This window comes from Homo sapiens, chromosome 22 (assembly GCF_000001405.40).
Source record: "Homo sapiens chromosome 22, GRCh38.p14 Primary Assembly".
NCBI classification, from domain to species: Eukaryota; Metazoa; Chordata; class Mammalia; order Primates; family Hominidae; genus Homo; species Homo sapiens.
In genome coordinates, this window is record NC_000022.11 from 47,553,642 (window position 1) to 47,571,382 (window position 17,741).

The following is a 17,741-nucleotide window of genomic DNA, read 5'->3' on the forward strand; positions in this document are numbered from 1 at the left end:
TAGAACAGTGAGATAATGCGTCTCTGTTGTTTTACACCACCCAGTTGGTGGTCATTGGTATGGCAGCCCCAGGAAACTGATCCACTTGGTATGTTGTTTGCAAGTGCCATTGCATGGAGTTTGTAAGATGCCTGCCAGGCAGCCATCCATTCCATCTCAAGAGAACCGTGGCAGTAGACCAGCAACCCCAATCAGCACAGAAGTGTTCCCTGGTCTCCCCTAGCAGAGTCGGCTGTGTGGGCTCCCACCCCATGCTCACCTCCTGCTCTGGCTCCTACTATACTGTGAGATGTTCATGTCTTTATTGTGCTTGCCCCCCACTCTGTACGTCAGCTCCCGGAAGGCCTCCGTCTCTGCAGTGTTTTATCCCCAAAGCTCAGCCGAGTTCCTCATACACAATATTGAAGACCCGGCTTGTCCTGAAGAAGCAGACAGACTTAGTGCATTGGGAACAAGCCACGTGACTATCCGACTATGTGGATATCTAGCCCCCACTGATTTGCACAAAACAGTTCCATTCAGTTCAGCAAATGTTCACTGAGCCCCGACTCTGCCAGGCATAGTACAAGCGGTTGGAGTGTGCAGATAATTCTTGTTCTCAGGGAGTGGGAGAAAAGATACATCCACAGATCACACTGAGCTTCAATTATTTTAAATTTCAGAATGAGTTTGTATTCCTTTTGGAAATTTTTGAAACTACAAGTAAGTGAAAAGAAAAGAGACGTCACTCATAAGCACTCTGTCTGGAAATAGTCATTTGGTGGACATAGGTCCAGATGCGTTAAAATTGGGACCTGGTTATACAAGTCATTTTACAACATGTCCTTTTGTTTTCTTTCCATCTTCAATGACAATTAAATCAGATCCACATCATTCTTTTTTTGTTGTATTTTGTTTTTGTTTGAGATGGAGTTTTGCTCTTGTTGCTGAGGCTGGAGTGCCATGGTGAGATCTCGGCTCACTGCAACCTCCACCTCCCAGGTTCAAGCGATTCTCCTACCTCAGCCTCCCAAGTAGCTGAGATTACAGGCACCTGCCACCACACTCAGCTAATTTTTGTATTTTTAGTAGAGAGGGGGTTTCACCATGTTGACCAGGTTATTCTCAAACTCCTGACCTCAAGTGGTCCACCCGCCTCAGCCTCCCAAAGTGCTGGGATTACAGGCGTGAGCCACTGCACCTGGCCCCATATCATTCTTTAAGTGGCTAACTCAGACCCTTCAGCTATCTCTCTTCATTTAATTTGTTTAATCAGTCTCTCTATTTAATCAGTAAGATATTTATGCTTTTCCAGTTTTTATCAGGTATTATTATTTTGAAATGCAAATTGGTTTTAAATTGTAAAATTACTACTGATCGTAGAAAAAATATCAATAGTGCAGAAGGGTATAAAAAAAAATCACCTTTCCCCTCACCCCTGGTCTTCAGAAGTAATAACTGCTAATAATACCTTTCTAGAAAGTTTTCATGCATTCACAAGCATCTATATCTAATCTATACCTATATCTGTGTGTATCTATGTCTCATCTATATCCATATCTATATCTAACATATCTATATATCTAATGCATATCTGCATCTAATCTATGCCTATATCTAGTCTATATCTATATCTAATCTATATCCATATCTATATGTAGATGTATATCTGTATTTAATCTATATCTATACCTAATCTATAACCATATCTAATCTCTACCCATACCTATATGTAATCTAATCTATATTACTGATATCTGTATAATTTAAGAAAGTCCATTTCTTGACATGTATCAGTCTGTTCTTGCACTGCTATAAAGAAACATTAGAGACTGGGTAGTTTATAAAGAAAAGGGGTTTGATTGGCTCATGGTTCTGCAGGCGGTACAGGAAGCAGAGCGGCATCAGATTCTGGGGAGGCCTCAGGGAACTTCCAATCATGGCAGAAGGTGGAGGGGAAGAAGGCTCCTTTGCATGGCTGGAGCAGTAGGAGAGGAGCCAGACATTTCTTGTATGTATATATGTATGTATGTGTCTATTTATCTATTATGTATCTATTATCTATTAATATCTATCATCTATCTGTCTATCGATCATCTATCACTAGTTATCCTTTTCACAGAAAAGGAGTCATTTTGTACATATCATTCACTTTGCTCATTTCACTTTATGTGCCTTACACATCTTCCCATATCAGAACATGTAGATCTGTCTCATTATTTTTAAGTTTTGTATTTTGAAAATTTCCAAGCGTATATAAAAGTAACAGTGTGGGATAATGAAACTCCATGTAGCCATCTTCCAGCTTCCACGATTATCTCAGCTCTTCTTCCCTTCATGTCATGCTGGGAGGACGTGGTAAAGGAAATTCATACCTGAAACATTTAGCAATAATTCCTTAAGATAAAATAATCTGTGTTCAAGTTTCCCTGTTTGTATTATTATTATTATTTTACTCTTCCTTTGACTCATGGATGTTTCCTAATTTCTTTTAATCTAGGTGTTTTTCGCCCCTCTTTTTTTTCTTATACTTTTATCTGTTTCTTGTTCTAGAGATTTTTCTATATTTTGAATTTTGCTGATTTCTTTCCTATGTGTACTTGCTATGTTCTTAGCACATATTGTACTCAAATATTTGGGAATGATTTGTAGACTGATGCCCCTTTATCTTCAAATACTTGAGTGGGTATTTTCTAAAAGCAACAACATTCTGTTTCATAACTATAAGTACAAGAGAGTTAGCAGTTAAACCTTATTTTCTTTTTTGCAGACATCCAGTTTTCACCAAATATCCCAACAAGTTTCTCTATAGCAAAAGCAAGCCCAGCCATGTGCCGCACTTCAGTCTCTCCTAATCTGGAAAAGTATCTCAGTCTGTGTTTGTCTTTCATGACACTGACTTTTTCATTAGAATTTTGTAGAATGCCTCTCTTTTTAAGTTTATTTGATGTTTCCTCAGTATTCAATTCGGATTATGCGATTTTGGTAGAGATACCCAAAAGTCATGCTGTGTTCTTCTCAGTGCCTCATGGGAGGAGGCCCATGGCGTCCACTTGCCCCGTTGTGAAGCTACTGCGGATCACTCGGTGAAGGGGGTGTCTTCTAGGTTTCCGCACTGTGAAGCTACAATTTCCACTCTATAACTATCAAATATCACATGAAGGAGGTAATTTCAGTTTATGGAAAAGGTCTGTCATTCCTCAAACTTTCCGCCATTAGTTTTAGCATCCTTTGATGACTCTTGCCTGAATCAGTTATTATAATGGTTACCAAATGGTAATTTTCTAATTCCATACATATTCCTTCTACATTTATTAGTTGGCTTTCTACTGTTTGGAGCCTTCTTGTGCATGTATGAGTGTGTATGCATGTGTGTGTATGTGTGTATGCATGCATGTGATATGCTTATGTATGCATGTATGTATATATGTGTATGGATGTATGTATATATGTGTGTACACATGTTTATGTATGTTTATACGTGTATGTGTGTATGCATGTATGTGCATATGCATATGTGTGTATGTATGTATATATGTGTGTATGGATGTGTATGTATGCCTTTATATGTATATGTGTACATATTCCTGTATATGTATGTGTGTGTATGTGTGTATGTGTGTTCGTGTATGTATGTGCATATGTGTGTTTGTATGTGTGTATGTAGGTGTATGTGTATGTATGTATGTGTATGTGTATGTATTGATGTGTGTATGTGTGTATGCATGTATGTGCATATGTGTATGTATGTGTTCGTGTGTGTGTATGTATGCATGTGAATGTATGTATATATGTGTATGTGTGTATGGATGCCTTTATATATATGTGTGTATGCATGCCTGTATATGTTTGTGTGTGTATGTGTGTATATGTGTGCATGTGTGTGTGTTTGTGTGTGTGTGTATGTATGTATATGTGTAGTGTGTGTATGAATATGTATGTATATTTGTAAGTGTGTATGTAGGTGTGTGTATGAGTGTGTATGTATGTATGTATCCACCCATCCATCTATTTATATGCTCACTCACCCATATTAGTATGGACTTGAATTTCTGCTTTCAATGAGCTATAATCCTTTAATCCTTTGCTATCATTAAGTTAATGCTCAAATCATTCCAGATTTGGCCAGTGGAACTTTTTGAGTGGCACCTATGCCCTTGGGACATAGCCCCATTGTTCTTTGCTCTTGCCCTTGACCTTGCAAGACGTCTTGGGCTCATCGCGTACTTCCTCTGTCCCAGATGCTTCCCTGAGCCTCCCTGGTCCCTTCTAGTGAAAAACAGTCTCTGAGGCTCCCTTGTAGGTGCTGGGCTGCTCCTTGCTGCTTTGCTGATCATTGATCCTGTAGCTTTTCAGTTGAAGATCTGGGATCTGTGTTTTTCTAAAGAAAATGTATGATACCAAGTATTTGTACTGATATTTCCAATTCAAATTTAGGTTACGAGCTTTTATTTGACATCTTTTCCTTTATATTTGATCTCTTTTCTTTCATGCTGAAGTTCTTGGTTTCTATGATACTAACACAGTTACTACTTTGCTTTATCTTATGGGTCAAAACTATTTAAAAATAGCAAGAACCATGTGTCATTATTAGCAATATGATTTCTAAAACAGTTAAGATTTGTTTCACTAGTTTTTGTGTTTAGGATATATTTAATAAGGGAAATTCAAACACTGGTTACTTGATCATCTTAAGGAATTACTGTTCGATGTTTTAGGTGTAATAAGAGTACTACGTCTTTACCAGATGGAAGAGGGGAACCATGTTTTACATAATTTGAAACATGAAATAATTTTTCTCTTTGTGGTTGAGCACCAGCTTCTACACAGCTACATTCTTTGTTTCATTTTGCTTTGATTTGGGAGGGATTGCTTTTTACTTGGCTTTATTGCTTGTAAAGTATGCAAAAAAAAAATCAGTTATAAAGTAGGTAAAGTACGTGTGAAGAGGACACATTTAGGGAGGAGTGAGGGAATGGCAAGGATTCATGTTTGAAGCCAGGTATGCAGGGGCCTCAGGGAATGCAGAGAAGTTCACGGAAGCTGGGCTGGTCATAGCCGGTGGTGAAAGGGAAGAGAGGCCCCCAGGGCCCCTGCTTGAAAGGAGCCAGGGTGTCTGCAGGTCTATTGTGCTGGGTCTCTGAGGTGCCCCCATACCCCCAGAGCAGCCCAGGGAAGTGGGGAGGCACTGCCTAGCGAGTGCTTGGTGGTTGGTCCACACTCTCTATCCTGAGGAGCCCATGGATCTGAACCGGGCCAGAGGAGTGAGTAGGGTTCCCTGTTAATGCAGGCCTTTGAAACTGCAAAGCACAGAAAGCCGGCAGCACCCAGGCGTGTGCCGTGGGGCCAGTGTCTTTGCTTCCTTGCAGAGGTGGTGGCCATGGCTGGGTTGGGACATGAGGGTGGCGGTGGCCTAGGGGGCCCTGGAGCCATGATAGTGAGTACTAGAAGAGTCTCTGTGTGGCTTGCAGGTCCGCTAGCACTGGTGGTGCCACCTGTGAATGTGACCCCGTGTGGGGATGGGGCAGCCCATGTGTTGCTTCCATGTGTTGCTTCCAGTGAGCAGAGGAGGTGAGGATTGGACACGGCCAGAGGCCGGGAGTGAGCTGGGTGCGTGTGGAAATGCCCAGGGTGTGGCTTCCTCACTGTATGGGAAGATCCAGGAGGCAGGTCCTGTGCAGCCTGCAGAGTTCCCGCTGCCCACTGGAGAGGAAGGGCACCAACCCACGCTGGATCTCTACCTGTAGGTTCAACCAATGGAAGGACGAGGACACTGCGTGTTTGTTGACATCTCCCTCCTCTCCCAGAGCCTGGCCTGACTTTACCTCCCAGTTTGTGATGTTGGGATTATGTGTAGCAGGTGAGGAAGCAGAGGAGGGAAGGGGCTGCCCCTGGGAGCTCAGGGGCCAGAGGAGCCTGGTAGCTGGACATTGCCAAGGACTCTGTTCAGGTGGTGTGATGGTTAATACTGAGTGTCAACTTGATTGGATTGAAAGATGCTAAGTATTGTTCCTGGGTGTGTCCGTGAGGGTATTTCCAAAGGAGATTAACATTTGAAATGTCCGTGGACTGGGAAAGGCAGACCCACCCTTAATCTGGGTGGGCACCATCTAATCAGCTGCCAACAGGCCAAAACAAAAAGCAGACAGAAGAATGTGAAAAGACTAGACTGGCCTAGCCTCCCAGTCTACATCTTTCTCCTGTGCTGGATGCTTCCTGCCCTCGAACATCAAACTCCAAGTTTTTCAGCTTTGGGACTCAGACTGGCTTCTTTGTTCCTCAGCTTGCAGATGGCCTATTGTGGGATCTTGTGATCATGTGAGTTAATACTTCTTAATAAACTCCCATATATATATGTGTGTGTGTGTGTGTGTGTGTGTGTGTGTGTGTATACATATACACACATATATATACTAATATATATATATCCTAGTAGTTCTGTCTCTCTCTCTCTACATATATATATACAGACACACGTATATGTGTGTATGTGTGTGTGTTCATGTATGTATGTGTGTGTGTGTATATATATATATATATATATATATCTCTCCTAGTAGTTCTGTCCCTCTAGAGAGCCCCGACTAATTGACTAATACCAGGGGCCCTTGGGGATTTCCCCAGCAGCGCTCACCACCTGCATTAAGGGAACTGTGGATTAACGTGTGTATGTGTGTGTGCTCTCATGTGTGCATGTGTGTGTATGGGGGGTGTCTAAAGACCCATCGCAAGTCTAAAGGGATGGTCACTTTTTAAAATAAGAACTGTTTTATTGTTAGATGTAGTATTGCAAGCCATCTGTTCTCTAGCAGGTTAGCACTGTAAAGAGCTTTTATTAGGTAGGCATCATCTACAGGCTATTATATTTAAATGATTGCTTTTAAAGATTTGATACCAATTTTATTTGTTTATTGTTTGTACCTAGATCAAGGAGAGGGCCTATGATCCTGTTTAGATGATAGGCTTCAGGGTCAGTTTTGCCAAACATATGCTGAGTGAATTACAGGTACACCTCCGAATTAACTTAAATGTTGAATTAGTATTTACATCTCTACAACAATTTACCTCATGGCAGGTACCACTCATCTCATCTTCCATATGACCCTTGAGATGGCATGAGAGTCATGTTGTCTGCATCCTGTGGATGAAAAACTGGAGCTTGGGGGCTTGAGGTGTCACTGGTGGGAGGCAGAGGCAGGCCAGATGCAAAGCTAGGTGAGCAGGTACACACACTTGGTCTCTACCAAAGGTATATAATGTTTGGAGCGATGGTTTATTATGATTTAAGAGGCAGAGAATTGCTTAGCATATGGTCAATAGAAGCTCTTTGCTGCTTTCATAAGCCATTTTTCATATCATTAATTTTTTGTATATGTTTCATTAATTTTCAAGGTAATCCATATTCCCCTTTCCTGTGAAATATATCACCGCAGGCTTAGATGTCTTCTCCATGTAGTGCTAAGCCACCTATTATTTTTGGTCCGTCTAGTAGTCCAGGGAATTACAGACACCATAAAATGTATGCAAATTGAAGGGTGGTGACAAAAAAATCCATCGGCCCCTGCATTGTGTATTTATTCACTGCACACCTGTTAAGCTCCTACTACGCACCAGGCTCTGAGAGGCGCTGGGCATGTGGGGAAGAATGGGATGCAGTCTCACCCAGGCTCTGAGAGGCGCTGGGCGTGTGGGGAGGAATGGGATGCAGTCTCACTCTGGCGAGCTCATGGCCATGGGGAGGAGATGGATAAATCAACTGCAATTCACCCTAAGTGCCACAGCAGAGGTGTTCTGGAACCCACAGGAGGGGGCACCCAGGAAATGGGTGCAATTGCCCATTTATTTCCTGTGAGGGGAGAGGGACCATCCGTCCTGGCAGGGAGCAGAGACATGAAAACCCAGCCAAGCAGGGCTCTTCTCATTGAGAGCAGCAGGATGTCAGGGATCCGGGGAAAGAAGTAACCCAGGATGCATACGGTGGGAGCTGACATGGAGGATAGGAGGAGAAGCTGAAGGAAAAGGAAAGGCTTGCTGGGTAGTTGAGGACACAGCTGGCATCCAATGTGCTACTCTCCTGGTCAGGCGGCCCCTCCCTTCTGGCCCTCTGTCCCCTCGTGGGTTCCATTTCTCTGTGATCTCTCAATCTGTGACTCCAACTACCACCCAATGGGTTGGGTCTGGTCCTCTTGTCAAGCTCCCTCCCTGTGAACAGAGGGGACTAAGTTGAATTTATAAGCATGGCATTCCCTCCATTTGGGGGCACCAGTGGTTCCCCCATGCAACTAAGGCTGAAGCTCAAGCTCCTCCCCAGGGCAGGTGTCAATCATCTCTCTCACCTCATCCATCACCTGCCCTGGCAACCTCAGCACTGCGACCATGTGGCTGCCCTGAACATGCCGTCACATTCATGCACCTGCACCTCCTTCAGCTCACTTAGCATCGAGTGCACGCCAGGCAGCACTGCAGGTATGGGGGATGCAGAAGTGAACAACAAAGACTCTTTTCTTCACCCAGTCTACATCCTGGTGCTGACGATGAGGGTAGACAATGTGCAAGAAGAGTAAGTAAGTTATAAAGTGTTTCATTGGACAATGAATTCTGTGGGGAAAAATCAAGCGTATGGGGTTGAGTTCTGGGTGTGGGAGACTTTTTTTTTTTTGAGATGGAGTCTCACTCTGTCGCCCAGGCTGGAGTGCAGTGGCGCAATCTTGGCTCACTGCAAGCTCCGTCTCCCAGGTTCACGCCATTCTCCTGCCTCAGCCTCTGAAGTAGCTGGGACTACAGGCACACAGCGCCATGCCCGGCTAATTTTTTCTATTTTTTTAGTAGAGACGGGGTTTCACCATGTTAGCCAGGATGGTCTCCATCTTCTGACCTCGTGATCCACCCACCTCGGCCTCCCAAAGTGCTGGGGTTACACGCGTGAGCCACCCTGGAGGGTGTCAGGGAGGCCCTCGGGAGGGGCTGGTGCAGAGCACAGGCTCAAAGAAAGTGGCTGATGGGAGGACCAGGGGCTGCCTGCAGAGGGTGCTCCAGGCGTGGAGAGCAACAACTGCAAAGACCCCAAATGTGTCCAGCTGGACCCCACAGCCTGCACAGTGCGACTGAGAAGCATTGAGGAGACGGGTGCTCCGAGAGCACTGGGGAGCCCCCAGAAGTCAGTGCCTGGCCAGGCCAGCAGCAAGGGGCAGACTGCGGTGCCTGCGGGGCATGAGAGGCCGGCCATCTCCATGTGAGGAGAAAATGCTGAAGAGCAGGAGCTCCAAGCACAGCAGGGGCCTCATTCAGCCTGGATTGTGTGTGTGTGTGTGTGTGTGTGTGTGTGTGTGTGTGTGTGTATGTGTGTGTAGGGGCTGATCTTGCTATGTTGCCCAGCCTGGTGGTCTGGAACTCCTGACCTCAAGCAATCCTCCTGCCTCAGCCTCCTGAATAGCTGGGATTGCAGGTGCACACCAGCACGCCTGGCTCTGGCCTGGATTTTAAATGCATGCTTGGGCTGCTGTGCTGAGAATGGGCTGTGGGAAGAGGTGAGGGCGGGGCCAGTTGGGAAGACCAGCTGGAAGCTTTGCAGTAACGCAGGGCAGAGACCACTGGCCCAGATTCCTCATGTGTTTTGGAAATAGAGGCTGCAGAGTTTACAGATGGATCACCCATCAAGGATTTCAGTCTGGAGAGTGAGAACGGTGGAGCTGCCATTTCCTGAGACTGGGAAGAGCGTGCGGGGCTCAGGTTCAGGGGGCGGAGACTTGGAGTTGGGTTTGGGGCGTGTGCTTACAGGTGCCTGTGGGGCCGCCCCGTGATGTTAGGAAGGGAGTGGATTCATGGGTCTCACGGTCAGTGGGTGCATCAGTCTTGTGGCCAGGAGGGACACCTGGGCGTTGTTAGCACTGTGGCCCTTACAGCCATGTGGCTGGTGAGGCCTTGGGGGCGGTGAGTTTGCACAGAGAAGAGGCCAGGCGTGTGGGGCTGTCCATGGTCCCAGGGGGAGCCGGGGAGGAGGCAAACACTGATGAGGAGCAGTCAACAAGGATGGAGAGAGCCAGGGCAGAGCAGAGGCCTGGGAGCCAGGTGAGGACTTCTGCAAGGTGGACGATGGAGTCAGCGTCAAAACGCTGCCGAGGATGAAGCACGGTGGGGGCTGAGGAGGGGCAGTGGATAGGACATGGAGGTCATGGGTCACTTGGCAAGAGCTGCTTGGGGAGGTGTTGGGGGCACAGTCCTGGCTGGAGAGGGGTCAGGAGGGAGCAGGACGGGAAGAGCTAAAGGAGCAAGTGCAGGCAGTGCAGGGGCCGTTCCTCCCACCTGGGGAACCTTTTCCTTTTGTTCATCCAGCCCAATCCACGCTGCCTATCAGGACTCGGCTGTACTCGGGCCTCCGGGACAAAGACACTTTGACCCCCTCTCTGCCCCCCAGGTCTACTTCATGGTGCAAGCGCTGCCATGTTCTCGGGATAAGAGATGGACTCTGCCTCCCTTCTGCAGGTGGGTGGGCTGCTTGGGGCAGGCCTTGTTTCCTCCTTTAAGTCCCCGTGTCTGGCCTGGCAGTTGATCCCGGTACATGCCCAGCAGATGTCGGTGGAAGCCGGAATGATGCACCGAGGCAGACTGCAGGGCGGGTCCAGGTTCCTGACTTGGAGGGGGTGAGGGAGAGGGGTGCCTGGGGAGGGTTGTGTGCGTCTCTGCACATGCAGGGAATAAAGGGGGCCAGCACGTCGTTTACCGAGTGGGAAAGGGGGTGACCTAGCGGCTGCCTTCATAGTGAGGGTGAGGAACACGCAAACACTCAAACTGCCCAGAAAGGTGACATCTGTCTAGGAAAAGGGGCTCCGGAAGGGTTGGACAACCTATTTGGAAGACAAACATCACTTTCTCAAAATGCAGCCTGAGGCCAGCTCCAGTTTCTGTCTTCACCCACAGTTGCTGCTTTCAGTGGGAGGAAGCCATGAATCCTGAAGTCGGTGGGTGGGTGCACACTCAGCGACTGAGGGGAAACAGACGGTTTTCAATTGTTTATTTGACAAATATGACTAAGTATTCAATAAGTTATCTTTCAAATTATCCTGTCAAAATAATCATGACACAGGATAATGATCAAACAGCTCTTAGGGGGAAAGGAGGGGTGTTTGCACGAAGCAGCTGCAGCTGGCCCCTGGGGTGCTGCTGATGGATGAGTCGACGGCTGGAAAAGGGAGGGAGTGGAGGCCGTCATGGGTGTGAGCGCGCGCACTTCCAGATGAGCACCACCCACCGTTCTGCTCATCCTCTGCACCCAGACACAGGAAGCAGGGGTCACGCTCGCTGCCTGTCTGCAGTGTAGACTTCTGTGCCGGGAGAGCATGGAAACCAACCATACCACATGCCCTGTCCAAGCTGGAATCATGGGTAGAAACAAATATTGCGGGGCACTTTGCCTCAGGGTGCTCCAAATACTGAGTGTGGGCATCCACATTAATTAGCTTCATTGCAGTGGGATGACCTCAACCCGGAGCTGACCAGCTAAATTCAAATCTACCAGCATTTTGAAAGCTGGGACTGTCCACTCCATCCTGTGTTGGGTGCTGAGGGGTCAGGGTAGAAGAGAAGTTGAAATGTTTATAATGAGCATGAGATTTGAAGTCAGAGCGCCGTTTTCATCTTCTATGGCATTTTGCCTCCTAATCTGTGGAATGGAGAAAATGCCGCCTGCTTTATATCTGGGTCTGTAGCCAGGGAGAAAGTGAGGGAGCCTGCTGTGGCTGCAGAGAATTAATGATTTGCTCTGTGGAGAGTTTCCTCTCCTCTGCGGTCTTTTGTGGGTCAGTTCCAAATGCTCATCTTGGAAGACAAATCGGCTTATTAGATCTAATGTTCAAAAGGAGTATCCAACCCGTAAGATGGAAAAGCCGTGTTTCTGATGGGCCAATTTCCTGGCCCCAAGTGGCCCTCCTTTGTCCCCACACACCTAGTACCTTCTCAGAATGCTGCCAGAGAAGGGAAGAGAGGCCAGGTCTCTGTGGATGAAGCACCCCCCAGAGAGATACTGGTGAGGCTCAGTTGTCTGAACGCGTGGGCTCCTGGAATTTTGTTGTTGGCTGGGTCATGGTCAGTGTGAGAAGCAGGGCAGGTTCCCTGTTGGCTGTCAAAAGAGTCAGACCGTAGATGTGTTTCCCTTTGGGGACTTTGTCCAGGAGCTGTGGTAGGAGAGGCTTGAAGAGGTAGGAGAGGGTGTGGCCAAGTGAGCAAGCAGGGAGGGGTTTGACTCTGGGTTGATGCTGAAGGTGAGATGTCACAGGGTTGGGAATGGGTGGGTGCTTGATGAGTAAATGCCGGCTGCTGCATTCATCAGCATATTAGAGAAGTTCTCCTGGGGGCCATGCCCTGGGATAGGCTCTGGGAATTCAATAGGAAACAACCTGCCCCTCCCCACACTTGTCCCAAGGAAGTGTACAGATCCATGGCAGGAAAGACAAAGGTAATTAATGCTAAATGGAGGTTGGCCCCAGAGTCCAGAAAGCTTCTAAAACAATGGTGTCTGCTCTGTCTTAATTAGCGACAAGGTGCTCCTGCAATGAGGAGAAACGTACTCTACACGGAAGCCCAGCTCATACGTTTCTACCCAAGTGGGGTCGTATATACAGGAGATCCTACAGAATGTATGGCTCCACAAGGTGCTTTTTGCTCCTAACCAGAGGCCTTTGAGATGTTTCCCTGTCATTAGGTCCATCTGGTGGTGCCCCAGAGCCGGCTCACATGGGCTGCTGAGAGCTCATTGTCAACGGTTCAGGAATTGCATCAGCTGATGGGCATCAGGCTGGTATCCTGAGGTCTGTCATGGTGGAGGGACTGTATTTACACAACAGAAACCACCAAACACTGCAAGTCATCTGCCCACCTTCTCAGGAGAGCCTGTCGTCACAATTCACAGCATGTCACCGTGCTGATCACGTTCATTTTGCCAGCTGTGGAGGGGCGGAGCTCCTGTGCCTGCTCCTGACTTAACAGGCATTTCAGTTCCTCCCAGGGTCTGGCTACTCCATGGACGTCTGCGTGCATGGGTTTGTAAATGTTAGAGTATGTGTGACGTTTTCTGTAGACCAGACTCATGGAGACGCTGTGGCTTGAAAATTAAGTGACATCTAGATAAGAGTCTGCAGAAAGCATGCTATGCTCAGGGATGTGTTTCCAGTGGGAACGCTGGGGAGAACACAGTTCCATGGGAGCAGGGGTGTGCCTGGAGATTCACAGAGTAACCGCGCCATCAGGAACCATGGTCTTTATGCGGCACAGGTTGGGGGGGAGCTAATTATGAGTTTCATAAAAATAACAATTATTATTAGCGATAATTGTTATGATTAATCCTAACGTTTATTGGTGACTGTCCTGTGCCGGTCACTGTTCTAAGTAGTTTTACACATATTCACTAAGCTAGCCTTCAACATGCCTACGAGAGAGACACTATTATTAGTCTTCCTTTTACAGATGAGGAAACTGAGGCCCAAAGAGGTTAGAGAACCTGCCTAGGCCATACGGCTTGTAGGGGTAGACCAAGGAAGTCTGAACTTTATGACAGCCATTGGTATTTTAGAAAGGACACTCTGATTGCAGTGTGGGCAGTGACTAAAGTGGTCATAGCTGAAGGTTTCAATAGTCCAGGTAAGAGACAGTGAGCCTGGCTCAGCGCCCCCGTATCTGCAGCTCCTGTCCCCTCTCCTTCTAGCGCACCAGGCTGTCCCCTTTCCCAGTGTTCTCAGGCCCCTGCCAGGGCTCAGGAAGATCCCATGTAGTTGTGCTTTGGGACCAACCCAGGCATCTGCCCTCTGCAAAGCCTTTCCTGAGCCCTGATCATAGTGATCTGTGTATTCCACTGTTTTTGTCCAGTGCCATCCTGGGCCATTGTCGACCCAGCCACCGGTTTTCTCTGGACCTCATGGCCTAGGGCCGGGAGCCCCTGATGCTCGGGTGTGGGTCTTATTCTCCCCTGAGTGGCCCTCAGTGCCCGCATAGGGATACAGTGGGGCTGAGTTGCGCTTTCTGCTTCTCGGGATAAACACGTGAAGCACAGGCTGTGGCGGAGGCCTGGCAAGCTTGGGCCAACACAAATTCCATTTTCCAGATCCTAGATATTCTTAATGCAAATTCACACAAGCCATCAATAACATCCATGGAGATGATGCCTTCCATCAGAAGCACATCATAAAAATAAATAATGTGACAGAAGCCACATCAAGAAATTACTTCACTCGCCATGAAGTGCCGCTCGCTTCGGGGTGAACACAAAACAGCTGTCTGATGCCACACAGCCGTCGACAGACGGCTCTGAAAAACAAGAGGCTCTGGGGCGAGGCGGGAGGCTGGATCAGGGGAGAACATTCTGGAAAGCCAGAGGCTCAGTTCATTTCCGGCCCAGGAATGGCGATGCCAGTCAGGCCCCCTGGTTAAGGCATTTTTAAAATTGATGACGCAGAGAGCACATATGGGTGAGAGAAGCCTGAGCCCCACGCCAGTGAAACAATCGCTCCTTGGGGGCCTGGTGAAACTTGTCAGAATCAAAATGGAGTCACTTGTGTTAAAAAAAATTTTTTAAAAAGAACTCTGACAAACAGGGTCAAGGAAGGTCACGAAGAGAGGGTTCTCCAGCCAGACAACAAAGTCTATCACAGAAGACACTGCAACAACCACCACTTTGCCCAAAGGCCATCACAACCTTACACAAAAAATACACGTGTGAGGACATCTGCCCAGCAGCTGCCTGTCCAACCTTGGACTGGTGCCACCCTTATTACTGATCCTCATAGCTGAGGGCATCAGTCCGTTCTCTCACTGCTATAAAGAAATATCTGAGGCCGGGCAAAGTGGCTCACACCTGTAATCCCAGCACTTTGGGAGGCTGAGGCGGGTGGATCACTTGAAGTCAGGAGTTCAAGACCAGCCTGGCCAACATGGTGAAACCCCATCTCCACAAAAATTACAAAAATTAGCAGGGTGTGGTGGCACGTGCCTGTAATCCTAACTACTTGGGAGTCTGAGGCAGGAGAATCGCTTGAACCCGGAAGGTGGAGGTTGCAGTGAGCCGAGATGGCTCTGTCTAAAAAAAAAAAAAAAAAAAAAAAAAAAAAAATCTGAGATTGGGTAGTTTATAAAGAAAAGGGTTTTGATGGCTCATGGTTCTGCAGGCTGTACAGGAAGCAGAGCGGCATCAGCTTCTGGGGAGCCCTCAGGGAACTTCCAATTGTGGCAGAAGGAAAAGGGGAAGCGGGCTTGTCTTACGTGGCTGGAGCAGGAGGAGGGGGTAAGGGAAGGTGTCACACACTTTTAAACAGCCAGATCTCGTGAGAACTCACTCGCTGTCGTGAGAACAGCACCGAGAGGATGGTGCTAAACCATTCATGCAAAACCCAGCCCCAGGATCCAATCCCTCCCTCCAGGCCCCACTCCCAATACTGGGGATTCCAATTAATTCAACATGAGGTTTGATGGGGACGCAGAGCTAAACCATATCACCAAGGACAATGGTCTCAAAACAATTACACAACCCTCATTTTTTCCTTGAAAAACCTTTACTGTCCTCTGCCTCCCTGCGTATGCACCTAGTTTCACCGTGGCACACGTATTCCCCCTGCAAGGCCTGTTCCTGAATGGACACCTTTTCTTTTAGAGAGCCTCTCTCTGTCTGTTATTTAGGTTGACAGCCTCAGCACCACTCACAACTCCCCCATCTCTCTCCCAGATGTGAAGATGTTTTTGGGTCTGAGGCCTTCTTCTAGCCTGACCTCCTCCCTCCCGTATGCTGTAGCCAGGAAAATAATTCCAGGAAAAAGCATCTGAATATTCACCATATTCACCTTCTCCTTTCCCTGCTGAGTCCCACAATGAAGCCCAGGTCCACAGAATAAGTCCTCGCTGCTCACGTGCCTGGCCTGCGTCTCCTCAGCTCTGGAGGCCCTGATCTGTGAGTGAATTTCATTCCTCGTGCCTCTGTTGAGGCTGCAGTGGTCTGAAATGCTGTCGGGGTCCTGATGCCAGCCAGGCATTTTCTCACCTGTGAGGGCTGGATGGCTTCCCCTGCCATGACATCCCACACACCCTCAGCACCTGCGTGGAGTGAGTCTCTTTTTCTCTGGTGCCTCCCACTGCACCCTGATTGACCGGGGCCCTGGCTACCATTTTCTTTCTGTGTTATTTAGTTTTTACTTCTACCACTCTCAGCTCTCATCTTGGCAATCCCAGTGCCTGGAGTCATGGGAGGGAGGGCTGAGCTTTCAGTAACTGATCTGCACAGGAATGACCGGGGTAGTGGCTGTGTGGCTCACTGCTGGCTCCGCCCACGCAGGCCATGATGGAAACACTGGCCTTGGTGCAGTAGGAATGGGGCTGTGTGGCCCAGTGGTGGCTGGAGGCTGGCGTGTCTTCATTTTGGGTCAGTGTTGCCTTGAGTATCCCGTGCTGGTGCCTGGGCACTTCTTGCTTTGGGGTTTGATTCAGCGAAGGTGGGAAGCTGTCAGTCTGCAGGCAGGAGCTTCTGCCTCTGCTGCACAGGGCTCAGCAGCCACATTTCTAGTGGTCTTGTTGTTTGCGTTCATGGTGTTCGGGCCAGGTGGGAGCCGGGACTTTGCATGCTTCCCTTGTGGTGGGCGCTGGGTGGTCAACCCATCTCATTTCTTCCACCTGCCCTTGCTCTCCAGAGGCTGTGTGCATCTCACAAGCATCCTCCATCTTCGGGGGCTGGCCAAGGAGTTCACGTGGCATTGTGTTTACTACTAAAACTTTTACACACATATTTCGTTATCACAAACATTTCTTCTGGCACAGACCTTGCATTCACTCCCATTTTGCAGATGAGGAAACAACCTGAGAGGACATTCACAATGTACCCAAGCAGGTGCAGCTAGCGGGAGGCGGAGCAAGGAGGCAGCGTCTGCAGCTGCCACGCCATGGGGCCTTCCCTCTTAGCGGCTGGTGTGCAGCTCGGAGTCTCCCCGGCCTGTGGGTCCTTCCTGTTCGCTTCCCAGGCCTGTCCACTGTCATCCCTCTGACGTCTGCGCTCTATCTCCACCTTCAGATGCCGGACTGGACATGTCCTGGGAACTCCACTCTTCCTCTTGTTGCAGCAGAAACATGTCCAAGAGCTTCCTTTTTCTGGCAGACATTCCTGTGTTTTGGTGTCTGCGAGGATGGACAGGCTGCATTCTCACTGCCTGCCACTGCTTCCCTTTCTAGCTCCTGTTCTGTGTGGGCCTCAATGGAAAAATGACTCAATTCTCCCCCTGGGGACTGTGGGTGTCCTGAGGAATGGTGGATTTAGAACCTGAGAATTTGATTCACATTCAAGTTCTGTTGCCTGTCAGCTCCAGGCTAGAAGGACTAATCCAGCCTCTATGACCCTCAGCATCTTCATCGGTGAAGTGATAGACCATGAGGAATAGATGCATCCTTAAAAGGAGGTTTTAGCAGTCACTGGAAGTCCCTGGCGCGGAGCAGGTCCTCCACACGTGTCAAATTTGCATCTGCACCTCTCCTGCCTGCTGGGCAAAACCAGGCCTGTCTGTTCTTACCCTACTATCCCTGGATCCAGTCAATTTCCTCCATTTCTTTAATATTATTATTATTATTAATTTTTATTTTTTCTGAGATGGAGTCTTGCTCTATCGCCCAGGCTGGAGTGCAATGGTGTGATCTCAGCTCACTGCAGCTTCTGCCTCCTGGATTCAAGCCATTCTCCTGCCTCAGCCTCTTGAGTAGCTGGGATTACAGGTGTGCACCACCATATCTGGCTAATTTTTGTA

The 17,741-nt window shown here is 48.0% G+C and overlaps 2 annotated features.

Moving 5' to 3' along the window:
• Nucleotides 5,425-5,925: an enhancer, noted in NCBI's record as "H3K4me1 hESC enhancer chr22:47954815-47955315 (GRCh37/hg19 assembly coordinates)". NCBI's record gives its function as "activates a minimal SCP1, AML or CMV promoter by ChIP-STARR-seq in naive H9 embryonic stem cells {active_cell/tissue: H9 hESC(naive)}" and the evidence as "EXISTENCE:reporter gene assay evidence [ECO:0000049][PMID:30033119]".
• Nucleotides 15,856-16,356: an enhancer, noted in NCBI's record as "H3K4me1 hESC enhancer chr22:47965246-47965746 (GRCh37/hg19 assembly coordinates)". NCBI's record gives its function as "activates a minimal SCP1, AML or CMV promoter by ChIP-STARR-seq in primed H9 embryonic stem cells {active_cell/tissue: H9 hESC(primed)}" and the evidence as "EXISTENCE:reporter gene assay evidence [ECO:0000049][PMID:30033119]".